Here is a 19567-nt window from a genome sequence, read left to right as displayed (position 1 = left end):
TATGGGGTGATGCTTCAAATTACACAATCCAGAGCTGAAAACTGGTGTTTTCTGCTGTAGATGGTAGAAAAAAATAAGGGGCCAAACACAGAATATATTGGATGACTTTTGGCCTCCTATATTTGTGTGACAAAACTAAGCTGTCACGTCTGCGAGGGTCACCGAGAATTTGACTGGCATCCTGGGGATTCTTATCTTTAGCCCTATGACATAGCATCAGGTTACTTTGCATTTTTAGTTTCTGTTTTTCATTGGTATTGACTTTTCCATTCCTAACCCCCCTTCTACGATAATTATGTCTGCCACTTTCTGATTATTAAGCTGCTATAGATTTGGGGAAATGGGTAATTTTATCTGCCATAAGACTAATTAGATTCTGAGTCAGGACCTGGTAGTTTTCCTTTGAGTTAAAGTTATTACCTGTAGTTGGGCTTTATGACATTTGTTTTGATTGGCTGTATTCTGAATAGTACAGCTTGCTGGAAAATTAACAAATATATTAGGATTACCTTCTCTACATCATAAGGCTATTGTGAGACTCAAATGATATAGTAGCCATAAAACACGCTTCAAAAGAATTCAAAAGTAAAGAGGATAAGGGATGACTTTCTTCATATTCACTACCATTAGTATTAATAAATATTTTTTGTTGCCACCAATGAAATTCGGGCAGAGTCAATGCCATAAATTCCCTATAAGTGAATATATTTTAGTCATAAGAAAAACAGACATTACTGAAGAGATTCTTAGATAATAGCAACCATTTGCCTAGAGAGATCCAGGAACACCTTGGGTCCCTAATGGTTCCTGGCCCATCAGGAATGAAATAGATACAGATGCTGGTGATGATGATGATGATGATGATGATGATGATGATGACAATGGAGATGAGGATAATTATAATTATTGTTAATCTATATTGAATGCTTACTATTTTCAGGGCACTGATTCAAGAATTTTATACAAATTAACTCTTTTAATCCTCAAAACAACCCTATCCTACCTCATGCTATTATCATTTTTATTTTACAGATGAGGACACAGGCACAGAGGGGATAAGAAACTTGTTTAAGACCAGATAAATAAAATAAAATTGAGTTTTGACCTGCCGTAAAAATAAACATTTGTCAGGTTTCATGTATTCTGAGCACTAGAATGCACTTAAAATTGCTAGTTTCTTTATGAAATCATAATTTTCTGGCAAAATTCTCATACATTTTCCTCCTTCGTAAACTACATTCTTCATGGTAGTCAAGGGCCTTAAACGATAGGCACTATATTTTATTATTTTAGAGCCACTCTACCTAACAATGTTTTGAATGCAAAAGGTACAATACATATTGACAGAATGTATAAAGAACACTTTTATACCCAAGCTCCCCTAAGAGTATTGTGAAATATCTTTATAACAATTGATCATCTTGGTTTCTACTAATTCAATTTGGACATATGTTTTACAGAATCTATATAACTTGTGTTTCAGTATGTAACTGAATTATTACGTCAAAAAGATATGCTCTATAAAAGTACAGGAAGCATTTAAAACATATATTGACCACTTTGGTATGAATATAATTTTAATAATATCATAAAATTGTTATAACTTTGGACAATATATCCACCTACAGAGGCCCACAGTATTACTATATTAATATTGTAAATCTGGAAACCATCATAGGCTTCAATATAAATGGAACTGATGTACTTACAAGATTTATTACTTCTCAGAATGACACGCTGGGGGGAATTTGACGATCTCTATCGTATTAGTGAGCTGGACAGGACCCAGATTCCTATGTCTGAAAAAAGGAATTCCCAGGAAGGTCAGTATCAAAATCTTATTGATTGGGAGACTTAATTTTTAATTAGTGTAAAGTATGACTCCATATGTTTCTCTGAAATCTAACCTTTTTCATACTACTACACAATAAACTCTTGTTTTATATGTATATATATTTTTAAATATCTTAGGAGCATAGTAACTTAAGTCACTATAGTGCTTGTATGATGTTTAAGAACCTTACTTTGGTATATAAAAATATAATTCTTAAAAAAATTATATTATGTCACTTAGATTTATTAGAATAGGGAGAGCTAATAGTTTTAATAAAGTTTGTATTCATAAAATTGTTAAATATCTTCCCCAAAGATTAGAGTCATTTATTATTCCCAATAGCTTTATATGTTAGGCCAAGCCCATCAGACCTAATTCTGTATCTTTTTAGAAGTTGAACGTTTTAGTTAGTTAATAGATATGTCAATAACATTACTTCTCAGAAAGACACAGATATGCTGGAGTCAATTTTATATTTGATAGAGTTATTTCAGAGATCTTTTTAAAAGAGAAATATACTTAAGGATCAAATGGATCCATACTGAACTTGGCAAACCAATGGGAAATGCCAGCTCCAGGGATGTGTGACATTAGTAGTTATAATCATAATGGTGATGATGTGAGAGTAATAATAGTGATATTGATAGCTGTAATCTGATGAGACTCTGGTAAGTATCAGGCATAATATTTTGTACTTTATATGAATTTTTTCATGTAATTCTCATAAACACATAAGATTCAAAGAGTAGTGGATGCTGATGACTGAAGCTAGAATGAGGGGTGGTGGACAGGGTTCATGTGCCTGAAATGGGGCTGTGATTTACGAAGTCAGTTCAGTGTGAACAAAGGTATCCCACTAGCATTAACTTCATAAGCCTACCAGCAACTTGCAATGTTTGTTCTCTTTTTTTTTTTTTCAAATCATTCTCAATTCTGCCTCGTCTGCTATTCCACAGGAACCCAGATCCTGTGACAAACATGATGTTCCTTCCAGGGTTCCCTTTTCTCTTTATGCCATGGGATCTTTACATCTTGTTAAATATCGGCCCTTCCAATTATCTTTTAGAAATATATATGAAACCCAAGGAAATCCCAGTATCTTGGCATCAAAGACATCATAAAAATATATTTGTATTTAAACAGCAGTGCTAGAGAAGGAAGAAATATCTCATGCCTATTTGATAATGTTCTAATTACAGTAGAAAATTTTTTAAAATCCTAAAGTAAAATAAAACACAAATGCCACCACATGGTCTTATTCTTACATATGAATATGCATAGGAGAGGAAATTGAAAAAGGTACTATCAATTGTATACAAGCAGAAAGGGGGGCAGAAGGCAGGTTTGAATCTTCTGCATCTTAGGCTAGTAACACATTGTAGCTCAATTCAATTCCATTTAAACACCTTCTGCCTACTCAATAGATACTAGAGTTGTTCAACGCTACACTATAATTTTATACTCTAAAATCTGCTATAGAAATTGTAATAATTCAGTAACCAAATTTTGACTAATCAATTATGAATCATTGTTAAATATACATGACTCAATGAGAAGAAATAATAGGATAGTGGACAACTAAGTGAAAAAGTCATTCATATCATACATCTGGAATGTTCTAAAAAGAACATAATGTGATATATTACAAATAGTAGGACTAGTCCAAAGCATACTATTCCTTTTGCTTTTATAAAAGATGGGAACAAAATCTTTCAATGCTCCACATACCATATAAATAGCTTCTCAAAGAGCTTTCTGTAGTTTTATAGGAAAACTAAGGCCCAGTGTTTATTTTTTAGGAAAAGCTCCAAAGAACTTGGGCCAACATATAATGGGGTGGGGGGAGGGGGGAGGGATAGCATTAGGAGATATACCTAATGCTAAATGACGAGTTAATGGGTGCAGCACACCAGCATGGCACATGTATACATATGTAACTAACCTGCACATTGTGCACATTACCCTAAAACTTAAAGTATAATAATAATAAAATAAAAATAAAAATAAAAAAATAAGGATCCAGACCTGATTCTATCATTTATGAGTACTATGTCCATAGGAAAGCCACTTCAACTCACTGTACTTTTTCTTACCTGTAAGAGATCAAACCTGATAAAGTATCAGGTTTATTCCAGCTCTAACACTCTGAAATGCCACAAAATGCACTCCCCAATAAATTAAGATTAAAGGAATGCCCAAACCCCAAACATGATCATTGTGATCATTTCTTATGAAACATAAGAATGAGACATAAGAATTTTATATGAGATACTGGCAGAATTTGCTGAGTCAGTCTCAGGCAACATTTAATAAGTAAATATGCAGCTAAGCAGTGGACTATAATGCTTTTACACAGCCAGAAAATAGCAATATTCCTAAAATTAATGAAAGCATACACAAATCCACTCAGGATGCTAGGACACAGGCAGCTGAATGATATGAGCTTATAATCTATTCTTCCCAGACTATTTATCTTATCACAGCAACACCCTGAAGCCACATGCAAAGGATGAACCAGACTCCCCAGTGCTCTATAGAACCATGAGTGAAGCAGCTCTGGTGAGAAAAAGGATGAAGCCTCTGATGATGGACAGAAAAGAAAGACAGAAAAATAGAGCCTCTATTAATGGACACTTCTATAACCATGAAGTAAGTGAGTTACAATTCCATTAATGTAATATAAAATAAGGTTCCCTGTTTCACTAACAATACCACCCAATTCAATTCACAATTTAAAGTCATAATAATAACAGTAGCATGTCTAACATCTTGGGGGCACTCTCTATGTGCTAGATATTAAAGTAAATGTGTTTTAAATAGATTTTTACTGAATTATCTTATTAATCACTAAAACAATCCTATGAAATAGGTACCATTATTTTCTTTACTTGACATATAAGCTAATTGAGGCTTATGGAGATTAAGCAATTTGTCTTAGATTATGCTACTCTTAAGTAGTAACTCTCAACCTGAACCCAGCTTTGTCTGACTCCAGAACACAAGTTTTTAACCACCATGATGGGTGAACTCTATCACTGTGCCAAGTATTAAAAACATGCAGATGAGGCAGCCGATGTCTCAGCCAGCACGGAGCTCAGGGATTGAGCAGGGAAACCAACATACCAACAATAATACTGGAATAATGTAAGTGCTACAAAGTGGTTGGATCAAAGGACATTTGAACGTGAACATTTAAATAAAAGGAAAAAGCCACAGGCCAATTTATTCCAATAAATCAAACTTCTCATGTTGCCATGTTCCAGGTCTTTTACCTATACACATACCGTTTTTATATAAGTGTAGTTGTAGTTTAGATACAATTCACATTCTGCTTTTTCACTGAATATGTGTTAAATTTATATGTGCCTTTCCATAGTGCTTGTAAGACATTACATTTTGCTGAAGGTAGGAAATATATCATCATTTTTTTCCAGAACTCAAATATTTTTCATGTGATGTACTTTAGCAATCATTCATCGCTCCATCTCATAAATACTTAGCACTTACACTGTGCCAGGTATCTTCTGAGGCCTTTAATAAGAAATAGGAACTCATTGCTTTGTAGGCTTTTTCCTGTAAGGATTTCTACTTTATTTCTTCTTCTTCTACCCTTGGGGGGTAACGATAGTGTGTCTTTGGAGCCTGGTGGGGAGAAATCTCTCTTCTCAATTATTTATTCATATCAGAATTTTAGGGTTCCAGAATCATTCTCATAGCTATAAAGTAGCATTGATAGTCCCCCACAGAGAGGTACCTACCAATTGTCCTGTTTCCCTCTTCACAGAAATTGTGTTGTATGTCATTATCTTGTGGGGTAATTTGTGTTGAAGAAGGAAAGCCACATTGCTCCAAGCAAGTGGCTTTCAGATTGGATCACTTGTGCTGGAAATGAAATTGACACTAGGTTGGCAGCACGGAATGGTGGTTAAATGCTTGGGCCCTGGAGCTTGACAGCCTGGTTTTACATTCTTGCTGAGCAAGTTTCATTCTTCTTACTTTACAAGGCTGTTGATGGGATGGAATGAAATGAGGTAAGTTCAGCATAAGAATAGTACCTGGCACAAAAGAACTCGGTCTACATTAGCTTATGTTGTTGCTGTTGATTGAATGAGCTCAAGCTGGGACTATAGATATTTTACACAAATGTCATTCACTGCAATTTAATAACTAGCAGAAAACAATACAAACAAAAAAGAAAAAACAAAGCATTCTATCAACAATTATACAATGACGGACATCTAGGAATTTTAGTGGATATGTTTCTTAAGTTGCTGTGTGTCGTAAGATATGTTTTTATACTATGAAGCCCCTTGTTAATGCCAATATTGTTAGGCTATGAATAACACACATATTAAAGGCTTAGATTGTCATATCTGGAGATTAGTTATGGTGAATATAACTTGACCAGTAGTATATTTCTATCAATGTGATAGTAAATGATAGCAGGTTTCATTATATGTTTTGGCCAACACAACTGATATAAAGACTATAGATTTAAATACTGCTCTGAAAAACAAATTCACTATATGTTGACATTTTAGAAGAGCTCTTAGAGATTAGTCTTACTATCTTATTTTATAAATGAAGTCATTTATCAAATATATGTTAAGTGAGTCAATAAAGATGTTAAATGAGTTGACAAAGTTGGAGTTCGTGGGCATTTAGTGGGCACTAAAATCTAGGTCTCCTGAATGGTAATCCATGTTATTGTCATAGTGCATGAAGCTTCTTCACATAAACAACATCAAACCACGTGTACAACATATCATATTCACCTTAGCGCAGGATGAACATGTGGTTTTTCAGGGCTCCATAGAAATCGTAAATGTCACAGAATAACTTATCAATGCTCTAAAATGTCTACAAATATTGAATTTTCTCATACTTATAAAAGTTTATCCTAGACACTCTCCACACATCTTCTCAGAAAACTTATTTACATATCCACATTTTTACTCACACAAATGCCGTGTGTGTGTGTGTGCGTGTTACATGTGTGGGTGTTATAAATGTTTGTGTCTGTATACTTTGATGTTAATTTACTGATCTCTCAATATAGGACTTATCTTTTTAACAGTCCAATGAGCCACCCCAAAACCCACCCATCTCTACATCTGCTGAACCCACCCCATTTCTACAGAGCCTTGGAATACTTGGAGATTGTGCATATAAATAAAATATGTGGAAATAAATCCTTACTTAATATCTCTATCCGTTTTTAAATATGCATCTGGTGACATTCTTTCTTACTTATTTTGAAATCTTAAACTGCACTAAAGAGGGGTGTAATTGTCCAGTGAAAATGTTATAAGCATCCTCAAATGGTGTTTTACCTAATTTACTCTAGAAACAATATAAAGCTGCTTAAAAGAACACATAATATTCAAAAACAACAAAGAAAAACAAACAAAAACAAAACAAATTTTTTAAATTAATGACCTTGGATTTTTTTTGCCCTATAAGAAGATTATGTTCAAGATATTGAATACCCTTAATATAATATAATTTTAAAGACTTATGTGACAATTCTTTTTCTAGACATCAATTTTCATTCCAGCCTTTGAATCAGAAACTAAGGTCAGAGTAAACAGTAACATGAGAACTGAAGAAGTAATAAAGCAACTTCTCCAAAAATTTAAGGTAACCTTTATCACTTAACTGAGCTATAAATATATTATATATAATTCAACTATAAACACACAAATCCACTCTTCTGAAACAGATCTATAAAGGTGTAAATCTAAATTGGATGTTGAGCACTGAAAGATTCTTTCCTTTGTATAACACCTTTTAGTAACTATCCCTTGAAAAATTATATAATTCCCATAAGAGCAGAGAAGATTTTATGTCTAAAAGTGAAAAATGGAAGAGAGAAAACAGACATGATTTGGGTCTGGTCAGGTTAGAAAACATCATATAACAACAAAGAATTTATATTTGTTCATTTTTTCCCTTGACAGATTGAAAATAGTCCCCAGGATTTTGCTCTTCACATTATTTTTGCAACAGGAGGTAAGAAAGCTTGATCACACTTTTTACCTGACTCTAGAGTGCTACAGTTTGCTGCCCAGGGGGAAGGCAGAAGAACAGTTTGCCTCATTCTGTGGAGAAAGGGGAGGAATGGGTAGGAGAAAAGGAAGGAGTGGTCTTTAGAACATTATCTATAGTCCACAATTTTAAAGAAAGATAACTTAAGAATAAGGTATCCCTGAAGGGTTGATTATATGAAAGAGTTTGCTTGTTGGCCAGACATTAAATTATCTAAATGGAGATCAAAACCCTCTGGAACTGTTTCGGCACTTTTGTCTTTGCTCACCTCTGTAACTTTCTTTTTGGCTTTCCTTTCTGAGTGTTGCTCTTAGAGGAGTCATGATTGCATACCTGTTCTCTCTGACATTGATATTGCCTCTTTTTTAGCACAGGGTCTGACACATTGCGGGAGTGCTATCTCTTCCTCAGTAGAGATGCATATTCAGAACTTCGTGGTGAGGGGTGAAAGGTTAGAAGCAGAACATTGGGAAGGCGCTGTAAGTGGGATGCTAGGAGCATAATAGAGAGAATAGAGAAAACTTAAAGTGATACTGAAATGAAAGTTTTTAAAACTTCACAAATGAAAAATTTTATATATCAATTTGTAGAAAAAACTCATGCTATAATTTAAGTGTCAGAATGTTCAAGCCAGAAATTTATTAGAATAAAATAATACATTTTGATGCCAGAACACCTTAAGAAAATGAAAGCTGTATCTCTAAACATATATAAAATTAAAGTTCTTATAATTGAAAGCTTAAAGATCTATAATTAAAGACTTAAACGTTAGACCTAAAACCATAAAAACCCTAGAAGAAAACCTAGGCATTACCATTCAGGACATAGGCATGGGCAAGGACTTCATGTCTAAAACACCAAAAGCAATGGCAACAAAAGCCAAAATTGACAAATGGGATCTCATTAAACTAAAGAGCTTCTGCACAGCAAAAGAAACTACCATCAGAGTGAACAGGCAACCTACAAAATGGGAGGAAATTTTCGCAACCTACTCATCTGACAAAGAGCTAATATCCAGAATCTACAATGAACTCAAACAAATTTACAAGAAAAAAACAAACAACCCCATCAAAAAGTGGGCAAAGGACATGAATAGACACTTCTCAAAAGAAGACATTTATGCAGCCAAAAAACACATGAAAAAATGCTCACCATCACTGGCCATCAGAGAAATGCAAATCAAAACCACAATGAGATACCATCTCACACCAGTTAGAATGGCAATCATTAAAAAGTCAGGAAACAACAGGTACTGGAGAGGATGTGGAGAAATAGGAACACTTTTACACTGTTTGTGGGACTGTAAACTAGTTCAACCATTGTGGAAGTCAGTGTGGCGATTCCTCAGGGATCTAGAACTAGAAATACCATTTGACCCAGCCATCCCATTACTGGGTATATACCCAAAGGACTATAAATCATGCTGCTATAAAGACACATGCACACGTATGTTTATTGCGGCATTATTCACAATAGCAAAGACTTGGAAGCAACCCAAATGTCCAACAATGATAGACTGGATTAAGAAAATGTGGCACATATACACCATGGAATACTATGCATCCATAAAAAATGATGAGTTCATGTCCTTTGTAGGGACATGGATGAAATTGGAAATCATCATTCTTAGTAAACTATCGCAAGAACAAAAAACCAAACACCGCATATTCTCACTCATAGGTGGGAATTGAACAATGAGAACACATGGACACAGGAAGGGGAACATCACACTCTGGGGACTGTTGTGGGGTCGGGGGAGGGGGGAGGGATAGCATTAGGAGATACACCTAATGCTAGATGACGAGTTAGTGGGTGCAGCACACCAGCATGGCACATGTATAGATATGTAACTAACCTGCACATTGTGCACATGTACCCTAAAACTTAAAGTATAATAATAATAAAAATAAAATAAAATAAAATAAAGATCTATTTTTTGGAAAATTCTAAGGACACATATATATTCATATTCTAGTTGTTTAGGAAAGAAAGAAAACCAAAAGATATAAAATAAATGGTAGCAATACTGGACTGTGTAACAATTTAAAAGATACAAATAGTAGATTACAAAGAATATTGTCAATGTACTCCAAAGATTAATAACTATAATACCAATAATTTCCTACAAAATGGTAACAAAACAACAGACAATCCGATAAAAATAGAAAAAAGCATGAAAATACAATTGAAAGGAAAAACCATAATAACCAGTTAAATAGTTTTAGAAAAGTCTTAAATTCAGTGAAATGCAAGTAGCTAAGGAAATGCAAGCTCAAGCCACACCGTAATATTATCTTGCACTTCTCAGATTGGCAAAATGCTTTAAAATGATTCTACCCATGGCTGGCATGCATCAGGGTAAAAAGATATTTTTATGCAACACTAGTGAAAATATGACTTTCTTCTTATTGGAATTTATTCTTGCAATATTTATTAAAATTTACAGTATATATGTCCTTTAACTTGACCATTCCATTTGTGAGAATCTATCCCACAAAAATATAAGCACTAGTGCCTACAGATTTATGTGTAACACTGTTTATAAGGACAAAAAGCTAAAGACAAAGTTACTCATCCTAGGGAAATGATTAAATAAGTGATTGTTAGGCTGCCATTGAATGGAATGAGTAGATTTATGCCAATAGAATGGAGGGAGTTCCATAATATATTTTAAGTGAGAAATGCAAGATGCCTAAAGGTATATATAAAAGATCCCATTTTTTAAACAGTTACAAGCTCCCATTTAAGTATGTGGTATATATGGTCTTATGACTAGGGAGAAAGGTATGGAGTGATAAATACAAAACCATTGAGATAGATTACCTGGTGGGGGATTGGGGAAATGCAGATGAGAGGATGAGAAGGGGGGTGTCAGGCACGGTGGCTCATGCCTGTAATCCCAGCACTTTGGCAGGCCGAGGTGGGCGGATCATTTGAGGTCATGAGTTTGAGACCAGCCTGACCACTATGGTGAAACCCCGTCTTTACTAAAAATACCAAAAAAATTAGCCAGGTGTGGTGGCGCACACCTGTAATCCCAGCTACTCAGGAAGCTGAGACAGGAGAATCGCTTGAACTCAGGAGGCGGAGGTTGCAGTGAGCTGAGATCGTGCCATTGCACTCCGTCTAAAAAAAAAAAAAAGAGAAAAAATGATTTGTTTAAAGGTGTGTACAATAAAAATAGCAAGCACGATATGATTACCTTTATGTATTATGAGTTGTGTGAGGGGGACACTCAAAGGGTAATGCAGAGTATCTCAGGGCTTGGAAATTCCAGTTGTGCTTTACTTCCTGCTTTATACTTTTCTCGTTTGTTCCAATTACAATAGCATGCATGTTTGGGGAAGGGAATTTTTTTTTAAGTTTAAAAAAAGCAGTTTTATTAAGAAGTCTTAAATGATTGTGTGATAACTTGAACAGCTAGGTTGTACAAGATTTGAAAATTCCCTCTTTGGTGTTCTCCAAGACTTGGATTCCATTCACATGCACCTCGTTCTTTCCTCACACCTCTAACTTTAGCCTGCAGTTGAGCAGAAATATGGCTTAGTTTCCTTCCAGTCATTCTTGGGCTCCACACAAGGTGCTGGACCTATGAACGAACAAGCGTGTTGTTTTTATAAGAAAAAAATGTCTATTTTCATTATAAAAAATGTAGTTCTTTATAATTTCACCTATAAAAATCCCATTTTCTTTTATATTTTGTGTCAAAATTTTGCATATATCCATAACTGCAGATAATAATAACTAGGTCAGAAGAGAGCATATGGCTCCTGTTTGGGCAGTAATCTGGAAAACAGAGATAGGTGGGTTTTAACTTTATATCTACAAAGCCCATTACAGTGTATCTCACACTGTAGTTCATTTCAGATTACCTATAGAGTTCACTTAAAATACAGATTCCCAAGTCCTTCCAGATCAGGGGACAACTCTAGGAATATGCATTTTTAATAATCATCATCATAATTTTTTAATCATTATTTTTAATAATCATCCCATAAAGCAGAATCATGAAGCAAGAGGATGCTAAGCCAAGTTAACATTGGACCTGAAGGTCAAAAGAGGATTCTGGTGGGTGGATGAGAGGAGCTAAGTTGTCAAGGCTCCCAACTGCTTCAGAAATGGCAGAGGAATTAGAACAGTAAACACTGACACTATGTGAACAGGAATGGGTAATATCACTTTAATTGTGGGGAGGCTGGGCTTTTGAGTTCTAGACTCTCTCTTGACTCTTTTCCTGGGATAAGTCCAGCTCAGGGAATGAGAACAGTTCTCACTGTTCTGAAGAAAGTAAGCAAGGTGAAGGAGAGAATGAGGAAATAAGATGAATATAAGGACACTATGTTTTGTTCATGCTTTATTCTGATAAAAATGAAATCCCAGATGTGAAACTACTTTGACAGAAAGCTATAAGTACTTTTGTAGCAGGAGTATTTATATTATAACTTTTGGAAATTTGAAGTTCTGGAAACACACCAGATTGGAAGATATTTTCTTTCTCTATCTCATTTTCATGGCTGAATGGATTAAGCCCAGATGAATGAATAATAAGAATATTATTGATCTCAAAAACCTCATGAATATATTTTTAAAGATGAGCCAAGAATTGGGTGTGGAGCGAGACAAAGGAAGAATTGAAAATAATTACATGGTTTTGGACCTGAAGAACCAGAAAGATGGAATTACATCAACTCAACTTGGAAAGAACCAATAAATATTTGTTGTATGGATGAAGGAATGGTGGAATGAAACCTAAATAATTATTGAGGCATATTGCTTTATAAAAGGCCTATCAGACCGGAGATTTGTTTGAACACTCTAATCAAAGGAAGGCTGAGTTCTTTGAGACATTAATCAAAACTTGAGATACAGTAAGAGAAAGAAGTTCATTTAAGTTTTAATTTCAATTTGCTTTTTTGAGTAATTGCCTCCTGTTGCAGGTGTTATTTTTTTCAAAGTGAGTTAAATACGAAAAATAAATTGGAAAATTATCTTCCTTCTTTTCCTGCAGCATGAACTTCTGATTGTGGTTGATTCTTGTTTTCACTGCAGAACAAAGACGACTAAAGAAGACAGACATTCCGCTACTGCAGAGGCTCCTACAGGGACCTTCTGAAAAGAATGCTCGCATTTTCCTCATGGATAAAGATGCAGAAGAAATTAGCAGTGATGTATGAATACCATCACCCTGAATCTGTTTTTTGCTTCCCTCCTGACTCAGCACCTCTTGCATAATTGTTCTGCTTTCTTTTTTTTTTCTTCTTCTTCTTTCTTAGGTGGCTCAGTACATTAACTTTCACTTTTCTCTCTTGGAATCCATTCTTCAAAGATTAAATGAAGAAGAGAAAAGAGAGATTCAAAGAATAGTAACAAAGTAAGTCAAGAGCATGCACATTGGATACTCCGTTCTTTAATATGTCCAATGCACAAAATATGTCCAATTTTTAATAGTCTTTCTTCTTCTCATTTTCAGATTCAATAAAGAAAAGGCGATTATACTGAAATGTCTTCAAAATAAACTAGTAATAAAAACAGAGACAACAGTTTAGCAGTACAAGCTTCTATTGCTAAAACATTTCAAAAAACTCAGAGATATTACTCTTTGATGAATGCATAAGTTCTGTACTTGCATTTATACGAACATATATGAGACTTGAATCGTAGAAAATTGAATGTCAAAAAAAGCTCATTTCTTTTTGAAGTGATGAGGTTAATTAGGGTTCACAGTTGGACAAAATGAGTTTGAGTTTAGTTTCAGTAACTGAAATAAGCTTGAATACTGCATATGCCAAATAGCTTTTATAGTAAACCATGTAATGAACTCAAATTTAAATGGTGTCTTCAGATAAGCAGTTTAAACTTCATTTAGCTTGGACTCTCAAGAGAACTGAAACATAATCAATGGATTCAGAAATGACTCAGAAAAAAGAAGCTGCCAGTTCTTGGAATGAAAAAGAAATACAGTCTTACACCATCAAGGAATCTACCTGATAGTGACAGTAGCTTCTTGAAAACTCTGGCATTTTCATAAAATCTAGGACTATCTTAAATGGCCTGTTGACTTCTGACTATCTGTAACATCAGAGCTGTCTGGCCTTTGGAAAGGAAAAATTATGGACTCTGTTAAGAAATCCTAATTGAAATTTTCTGAACCTCCCCCCAGCCCTTTTATTCTCTCTCTTCTGCTGATGAAAGACCTTTCATCAGTTCAAAGCTTTTCTTAAGCTCTTTTTTAAGTTAATTGAACTTTTTCTTTATTTATTTTTCAAAAAAATGTTTATATCACATAGACATATTACATCGGCTAAAGTAAGACTTGGCCCACAAATACCTATTTGTTGCTGAATGAATACAATGGATAAAGCAAGGCTGTTGTAGCTGAAGTTACATAGGGAATCCCAAACTCTGCCCTCTTAGCATCTTATTCTACATGACAACTCTCAAGGTACTCACAGATCTGTTTAACCCACTTGAAAAAAAAACACTAAAAATGAAGAAATGCTATAAGTATAAACTATGATTTTATTTATAAATTCTGTATTAAAATGGAATTATATGCAACATTCTTTCATTCTGTAAACTAATTCCATTTGCATTCCTCATAAGCATTGTAGTAAATTGATCATATTACATGTACTAAGGAATGAGATTATATGCAGTAAACCCAACTGGAAGATTAACAATATTAAAATATGAAACATTTTTAAGACAAAGGCATTACTTCTCAGTATTACCAAACCTAAACTGGTTGAAGGTGAAAGTGTGCTATGGCCTTTTCAAGCCTAAGAAGTCTCTCTTACTGAGTAAACCAGAGGCTTGCATCGCTATTCTTTCACCTGTCAATATTAATAAGAAAATAGTCTCATCTCACTTAAATGAGGCAAATGTAATAGTTAAAATTCAACATACTTATAAAAAACTAGTGTCATGTACCTGCCATGAACATGACAAAAGGTTAGTCTTCAATAGACTGAAATGTATAAGAGAAGAACCAAGTCTTACATAGAAAAAAAAGGTAGATATGAAAAGAAAAATCACAGAAGAGAGAATGCAAATGGCCACTAAGTATATGAAAAAAGTCGTATCTTAACAGTGAACAACTGTGTTAGTCTGTATCAATCAGAAGACAGAAACAAGGTAGTAATTTAAACAGGGAAAGTTTAATATAAATAATAATTAAGCTATGATAGGAGAATAATAATAAAGATGAAAAGAGAAGGTACCCTAAGGCTGAGGGAAAGAATCCTAACAAGGAAAGGCAGGAATGAGGGTTTCAGAATTCACTGGAGAAGGTGTGGTTGCAGCCCACTGGAGAGAAGTTTGCTGGCTTGCCCAGGCCAGAGCAGGACCACAGATACTGGACAAGCTGGTACAGCCAACCCCCTAGGTGTGGACCAGCTGAGGCAGGTGGGCAGATATGCAGAGGGACTTGGGGCTTTGCCAAAGGGTAAGCACAAAGAAGGAGTCACGGGTTCTGTTCGAGGCACTGTTGGGATTAGGAGCCGGAGGGACCTACTTTGCAGGAACCTAGCATAACTTTGTGTGACGAGACTGCACAAGACAAAGCTCAGGCAAGTGGCTCAGTAGTTGGCCAGCCCAGCAGGGTCCTCTGTATGAGTGTGCACCCAGCTGAAGAGAAGAAATGGAGAGCAGCAATTGGAGCTTCAGGACCGGCTTGCACTGTGGCTCCAGGTTATACCACCACTGCCCAAAGCAAAAGCTAGAGAAGCAAGTGGAGAAATGCTGGAGAAAGCTGCACCCTACAGGCAACCAGCACTGCAGAAACCACTCCAGGCAAAGTAGTGAAGGAAAAAAGCCTGCTCTCCAGTAGCCTGGCCTGTCAGCCTGGAGGAATCAGGAAAGACCCCTTCCTCTTGCAGTGTGTCTCCAGCGCCCTCTACTGACAAAGTATGCCATCATGCAAGCTGCAAAGGAAACATTTCAAGAGTCTATATCTATTTTCACGGAGCGGGCAACCAACAGTGAATGTGGAGCTGAGAGACAGTAAAATAATAACTGACATGCCACCGAAGTACAAAGTAAAATAAATAAATAAATACACATTTTGGCCTATTAGCAAAGATTAAGAAATGATAACATTAAATACTCAATAAATCACCATGAGATGGGGACTCAAACTTCTGGTAAAAATACAAATAGATATAATTTTTCTTGAAGGCAATTTAGTAGTCTGTTTATCCTATAATTCTACTTGTAAGATCCTATCATATGAAAATAACCAGAGATACAAAGACATTCTGCAAAGATATGTTTTATATTGTTATTTATTGTGACAAAAGGAAATAAAAAGCCTAAATGTTCAGAAAATTATTTTAAAAGATGAAAGAGGGAAATAGGCCATGGACGGTGGCTCACGCCTGTAATCCCAGCACTTTAGGAGGCCAAGGTAGGTGGATCACTTGAGGTTGGGATTTCGAGACCAGCCTGGCCAACATGGTGAAACCCTGCCTCTACTAAAAATACAAAAAATGAGCCGGGTGCAATGGCAGGCACCTATAATGCCAGCTACTCGGGAGGCTGAGGCAGGAGAATCGCTTGAACCCGGGAGGCGGAGGTTGCATGAGCCGAGATGGCGCCACTGCTCTCCAGCCTGGACGACAGAGCAAGACTCCGTCTCTAAAAAAAAAAAAAGAGGGAAATAAACATTTATTTGTATATTGTTATGTAGCCATTAAAATTCTGTTTCCAAGTAATTTTAATTACAGGGGTAAATTCTTATATATCTAAATAAGAATATACACATACACATGTTCCAAAATATTTATTATGTACTTAAGGCATATATATTATATATGTATGTGTGTGTATATATATATGTATTTGTGTGTGTGAACACTAATATTTGCATATATATACACACAAGAAATAAAAACATGTTAAAAATGGCTATATCTGCATTGTAGAATTATGAGTGATTCATGTTTTTCTAACTTCCCTATCTGTATTAAGTGTTCTATAGTTTATATTTGTTACTTTTTACATCAGGAAATAGTAAAGTTATTATTTAAAACTTATGAACAAAAAAGTAACAAGCACATGCAAGCACAGAGTTCTACCAAATGCAAAAAATTTCAAATCAATTATTCAAATGAGACATTAACATCACTTCTGTGGTAGTTTTATATCCATAAAGTCTGATTCTTCTCCTTTGAAGAGATGAAGCTTAATCTTCCTCATCCTGAAAATGGGCTGGACTTAGTGACTTACGTCTTTTTATTTTATTTTTAATTGACAAATAATAATTGTATGTATTTATGGGGTACAATATTATATTATTATATATGTATACATTATGGAATTATTAAATCAAGCTAATTAACATATCCATAACCTCTTATAATTTCTTTGTGGTGAGAACATTTAAAAATGTACTCTTTTAGCAATTAGGGACTTACTTTTAATACAGGAAAATGGAAGAGACTGTGAGACTTTGAAGTAGGTCATAAAAGTCACTGTGGCTTCCTCCTTGCTCTCTCTTGGACCACTTGCTCTGGGGGAAGTCAACTGCCATGTCCTGAGCAGCCCTGGAAAGACCTACATGATGAAGAACTGAGACCTTCTATCAAATGCCAGCAGGGAATTGAGGCCTCCTGTCAACAGCCATTTTAGAAGTAGATCTTCCAGCCTCAGTCAAGCCTTCAGATGACTGCAGCCCTGTCTAATAGCTTGACCGTAATTTCATGAGAGACCTTCAGCCAGAAAACCCAAGGAAACCATTCTGGATTCCTCATCCTCAGAAACTGTATGAGATAAGAAGTGTTTGTTGTAGTACGCCGCTAAATTTGGGGCAATTTGTTACATAGCAATGTATAGCTCATACAATTTCTGGGAAAAAAATAGTTTATTTTCGAATCATTTTTGCATAATGCAAGAATATAAACTTGTCACAGAATAATTTATCCTTGTTTTAGGTGGTCCAAATATTTCATTGTCAGTTATATATTAGCTCAAATTAAATTTTAGATAATATATATTATTATTAATGGTAAAGAATGTGTCACATTTATCTTTATAGCTTTTCTGTACCTAATATTGTGTCTTGTGCGTAGGATGTGCTCAATAAAAATTGATTGAATAAATAAGTGAATGAAAGAATAAATGAATGAGTGAAGGAATTATCTGAAATATTTTTATAAAATTCCCCATATGTATGTATTACTTATTACAAGTCTGGTCCCATAGCTGAAAAAATATTAAACATTATATATATATATATGTTTTTCCCTGATATAGTGGTATATTTTATTATCTCTTGGCTCTACTATGAAATATTCAGTTAGGTGTCATTACTGTTTAATTTGGTTTAGGGCTATTTAGATTGGTTTTTGAAACTGAAGGGGAAAGAAGCCCCTTGCAATGCAATTGATGAAGTGATAAAGACAGCAGGTATAACTATTAGGTGGAGGCATATATATGGGAAAGAACAAGAAATAGGATGTAGTTACAGAGGGCAAAACCTTTCAATGACATTCATTTGTCTTCTAAATTAATAACATCTAATACCTATTAGATTGAGCCATTTGAAATTGCCAATATTTGACCTACAAAGGCAATGATTTCATATTGTTCAAACTAATAACAACTTATTTGCTGGGCACTACGTTTAATATTCATTACAATTCCATAAGGAAATTATTCTTTCAACCTCATGCTACAGATAAAGAAAGTAAGCCATGGAGCAGTTAGGAGATTTGCCAAGGTTTTTAGTAGAAGAAATAGGTAGGATTTAAACTTATGGCTCCAGAAGCCATACAGTTAACCACCATAATCTGTGGCTTCCCCCGAACTATGCTTCCCGAATCTGCCATTCTAAAATGTGTCCTCATTTTTAAGTGGAATAATAGTACCTACTTCATTGGACAGTTGGGGGAGTTACAAGAATAGCACATGTAAAGCCTGGCACTTTGCACATAAGAATGTGATAAATATTAGCTATGTTATAATTAAACTTCAGTATATTCCCCAACCACCATCGTAGCCTTATCTTCTACTAAGACTTACTGCCCACAGCTATGTCATTTTTGTCTTAAAACCAGCCAAACTAAATCACTCAGCCTTCCCTGAAACACTGCACACTTTAGCACATCTCTTTCTGTTGAAACATTCCCATTTTCTAGTCCCTGGTTAGGGTCCCTTCTTCCATTACCTTTCCTGGTCTCTGTAACAATGTGTGATCTCAAGCTCCTGTGTACCACAGTTTCAGTTAGCTCTGCTCTTGTGACACCAGAATTTTGAAATTTGCCTTTTATTATAATTCTTTATGTGCTTATATCTTGTATAAATGCATTAGTGATCTGGTGAAATCATATTCATATTTGTATTATTCCTTGTAGTATCTAGCACAGTGTATTGAATGCATTAGGTACTCAGCAAATGTTTATTGGATCTAATTCACTAATGCATATGAATGTGTTGAAGTCACTGAAGTGAGGAAAAATAATTAAACTCAAGGAAAGGGTATTAGAATGATAATTAATTTTTTTATAGTTCTCTAATCAAAATAATTCATTTATTTAAGCACTTAGTTTTACTTTATCTTTTATACAAAAATATCTGGAAAAATAAAAACAAGTCCAAATGATACCCATCAGTTCTTTATGTCTTTTGCAGAAAGATTTCCAAAGAAAAAAAGTACTATCACAAATAATCACTTCAAGCTCAAATTAA

At 34.9% G+C, this 19567-nt stretch overlaps 1 protein-coding gene across 14 annotated transcripts in view; it reads left to right on the top strand.

Moving 5' to 3' along the window:
- Nucleotides 1-18113, top strand: part of RASSF6 (Ras association domain family member 6) — a 49082-nt gene extending 30969 nt beyond the window's left edge. For 8 of the 14 annotated variants that reach the window (NM_201431.2, XM_047449709.1, NM_001270392.1 and 5 more), the window contains 7 exon segments: nt 1729-1823; nt 4299-4483; nt 7373-7474; nt 7795-7846; nt 12932-13050; nt 13156-13253; nt 13353-18113. In NM_201431.2, the coding sequence (NP_958834.1) occupies nt 1729-1823; nt 4299-4483; nt 7373-7474; nt 7795-7846; nt 12932-13050; nt 13156-13253; nt 13353-13428 (727 nt within the window). In that variant the 3' untranslated portion in view covers nt 13429-18113. 14 annotated transcript variants of the gene reach the window in all.
- Nucleotides 18114-19567: the final 1454 nt, after the last annotated feature.

This window comes from Homo sapiens, chromosome 4 (genome assembly GCF_000001405.40).
Source record: "Homo sapiens chromosome 4, GRCh38.p14 Primary Assembly".
Taxonomy (NCBI): Eukaryota; Metazoa; Chordata; class Mammalia; order Primates; family Hominidae; genus Homo; species Homo sapiens.
This window is presented reverse-complemented; position numbering and strand designations above follow the sequence as displayed.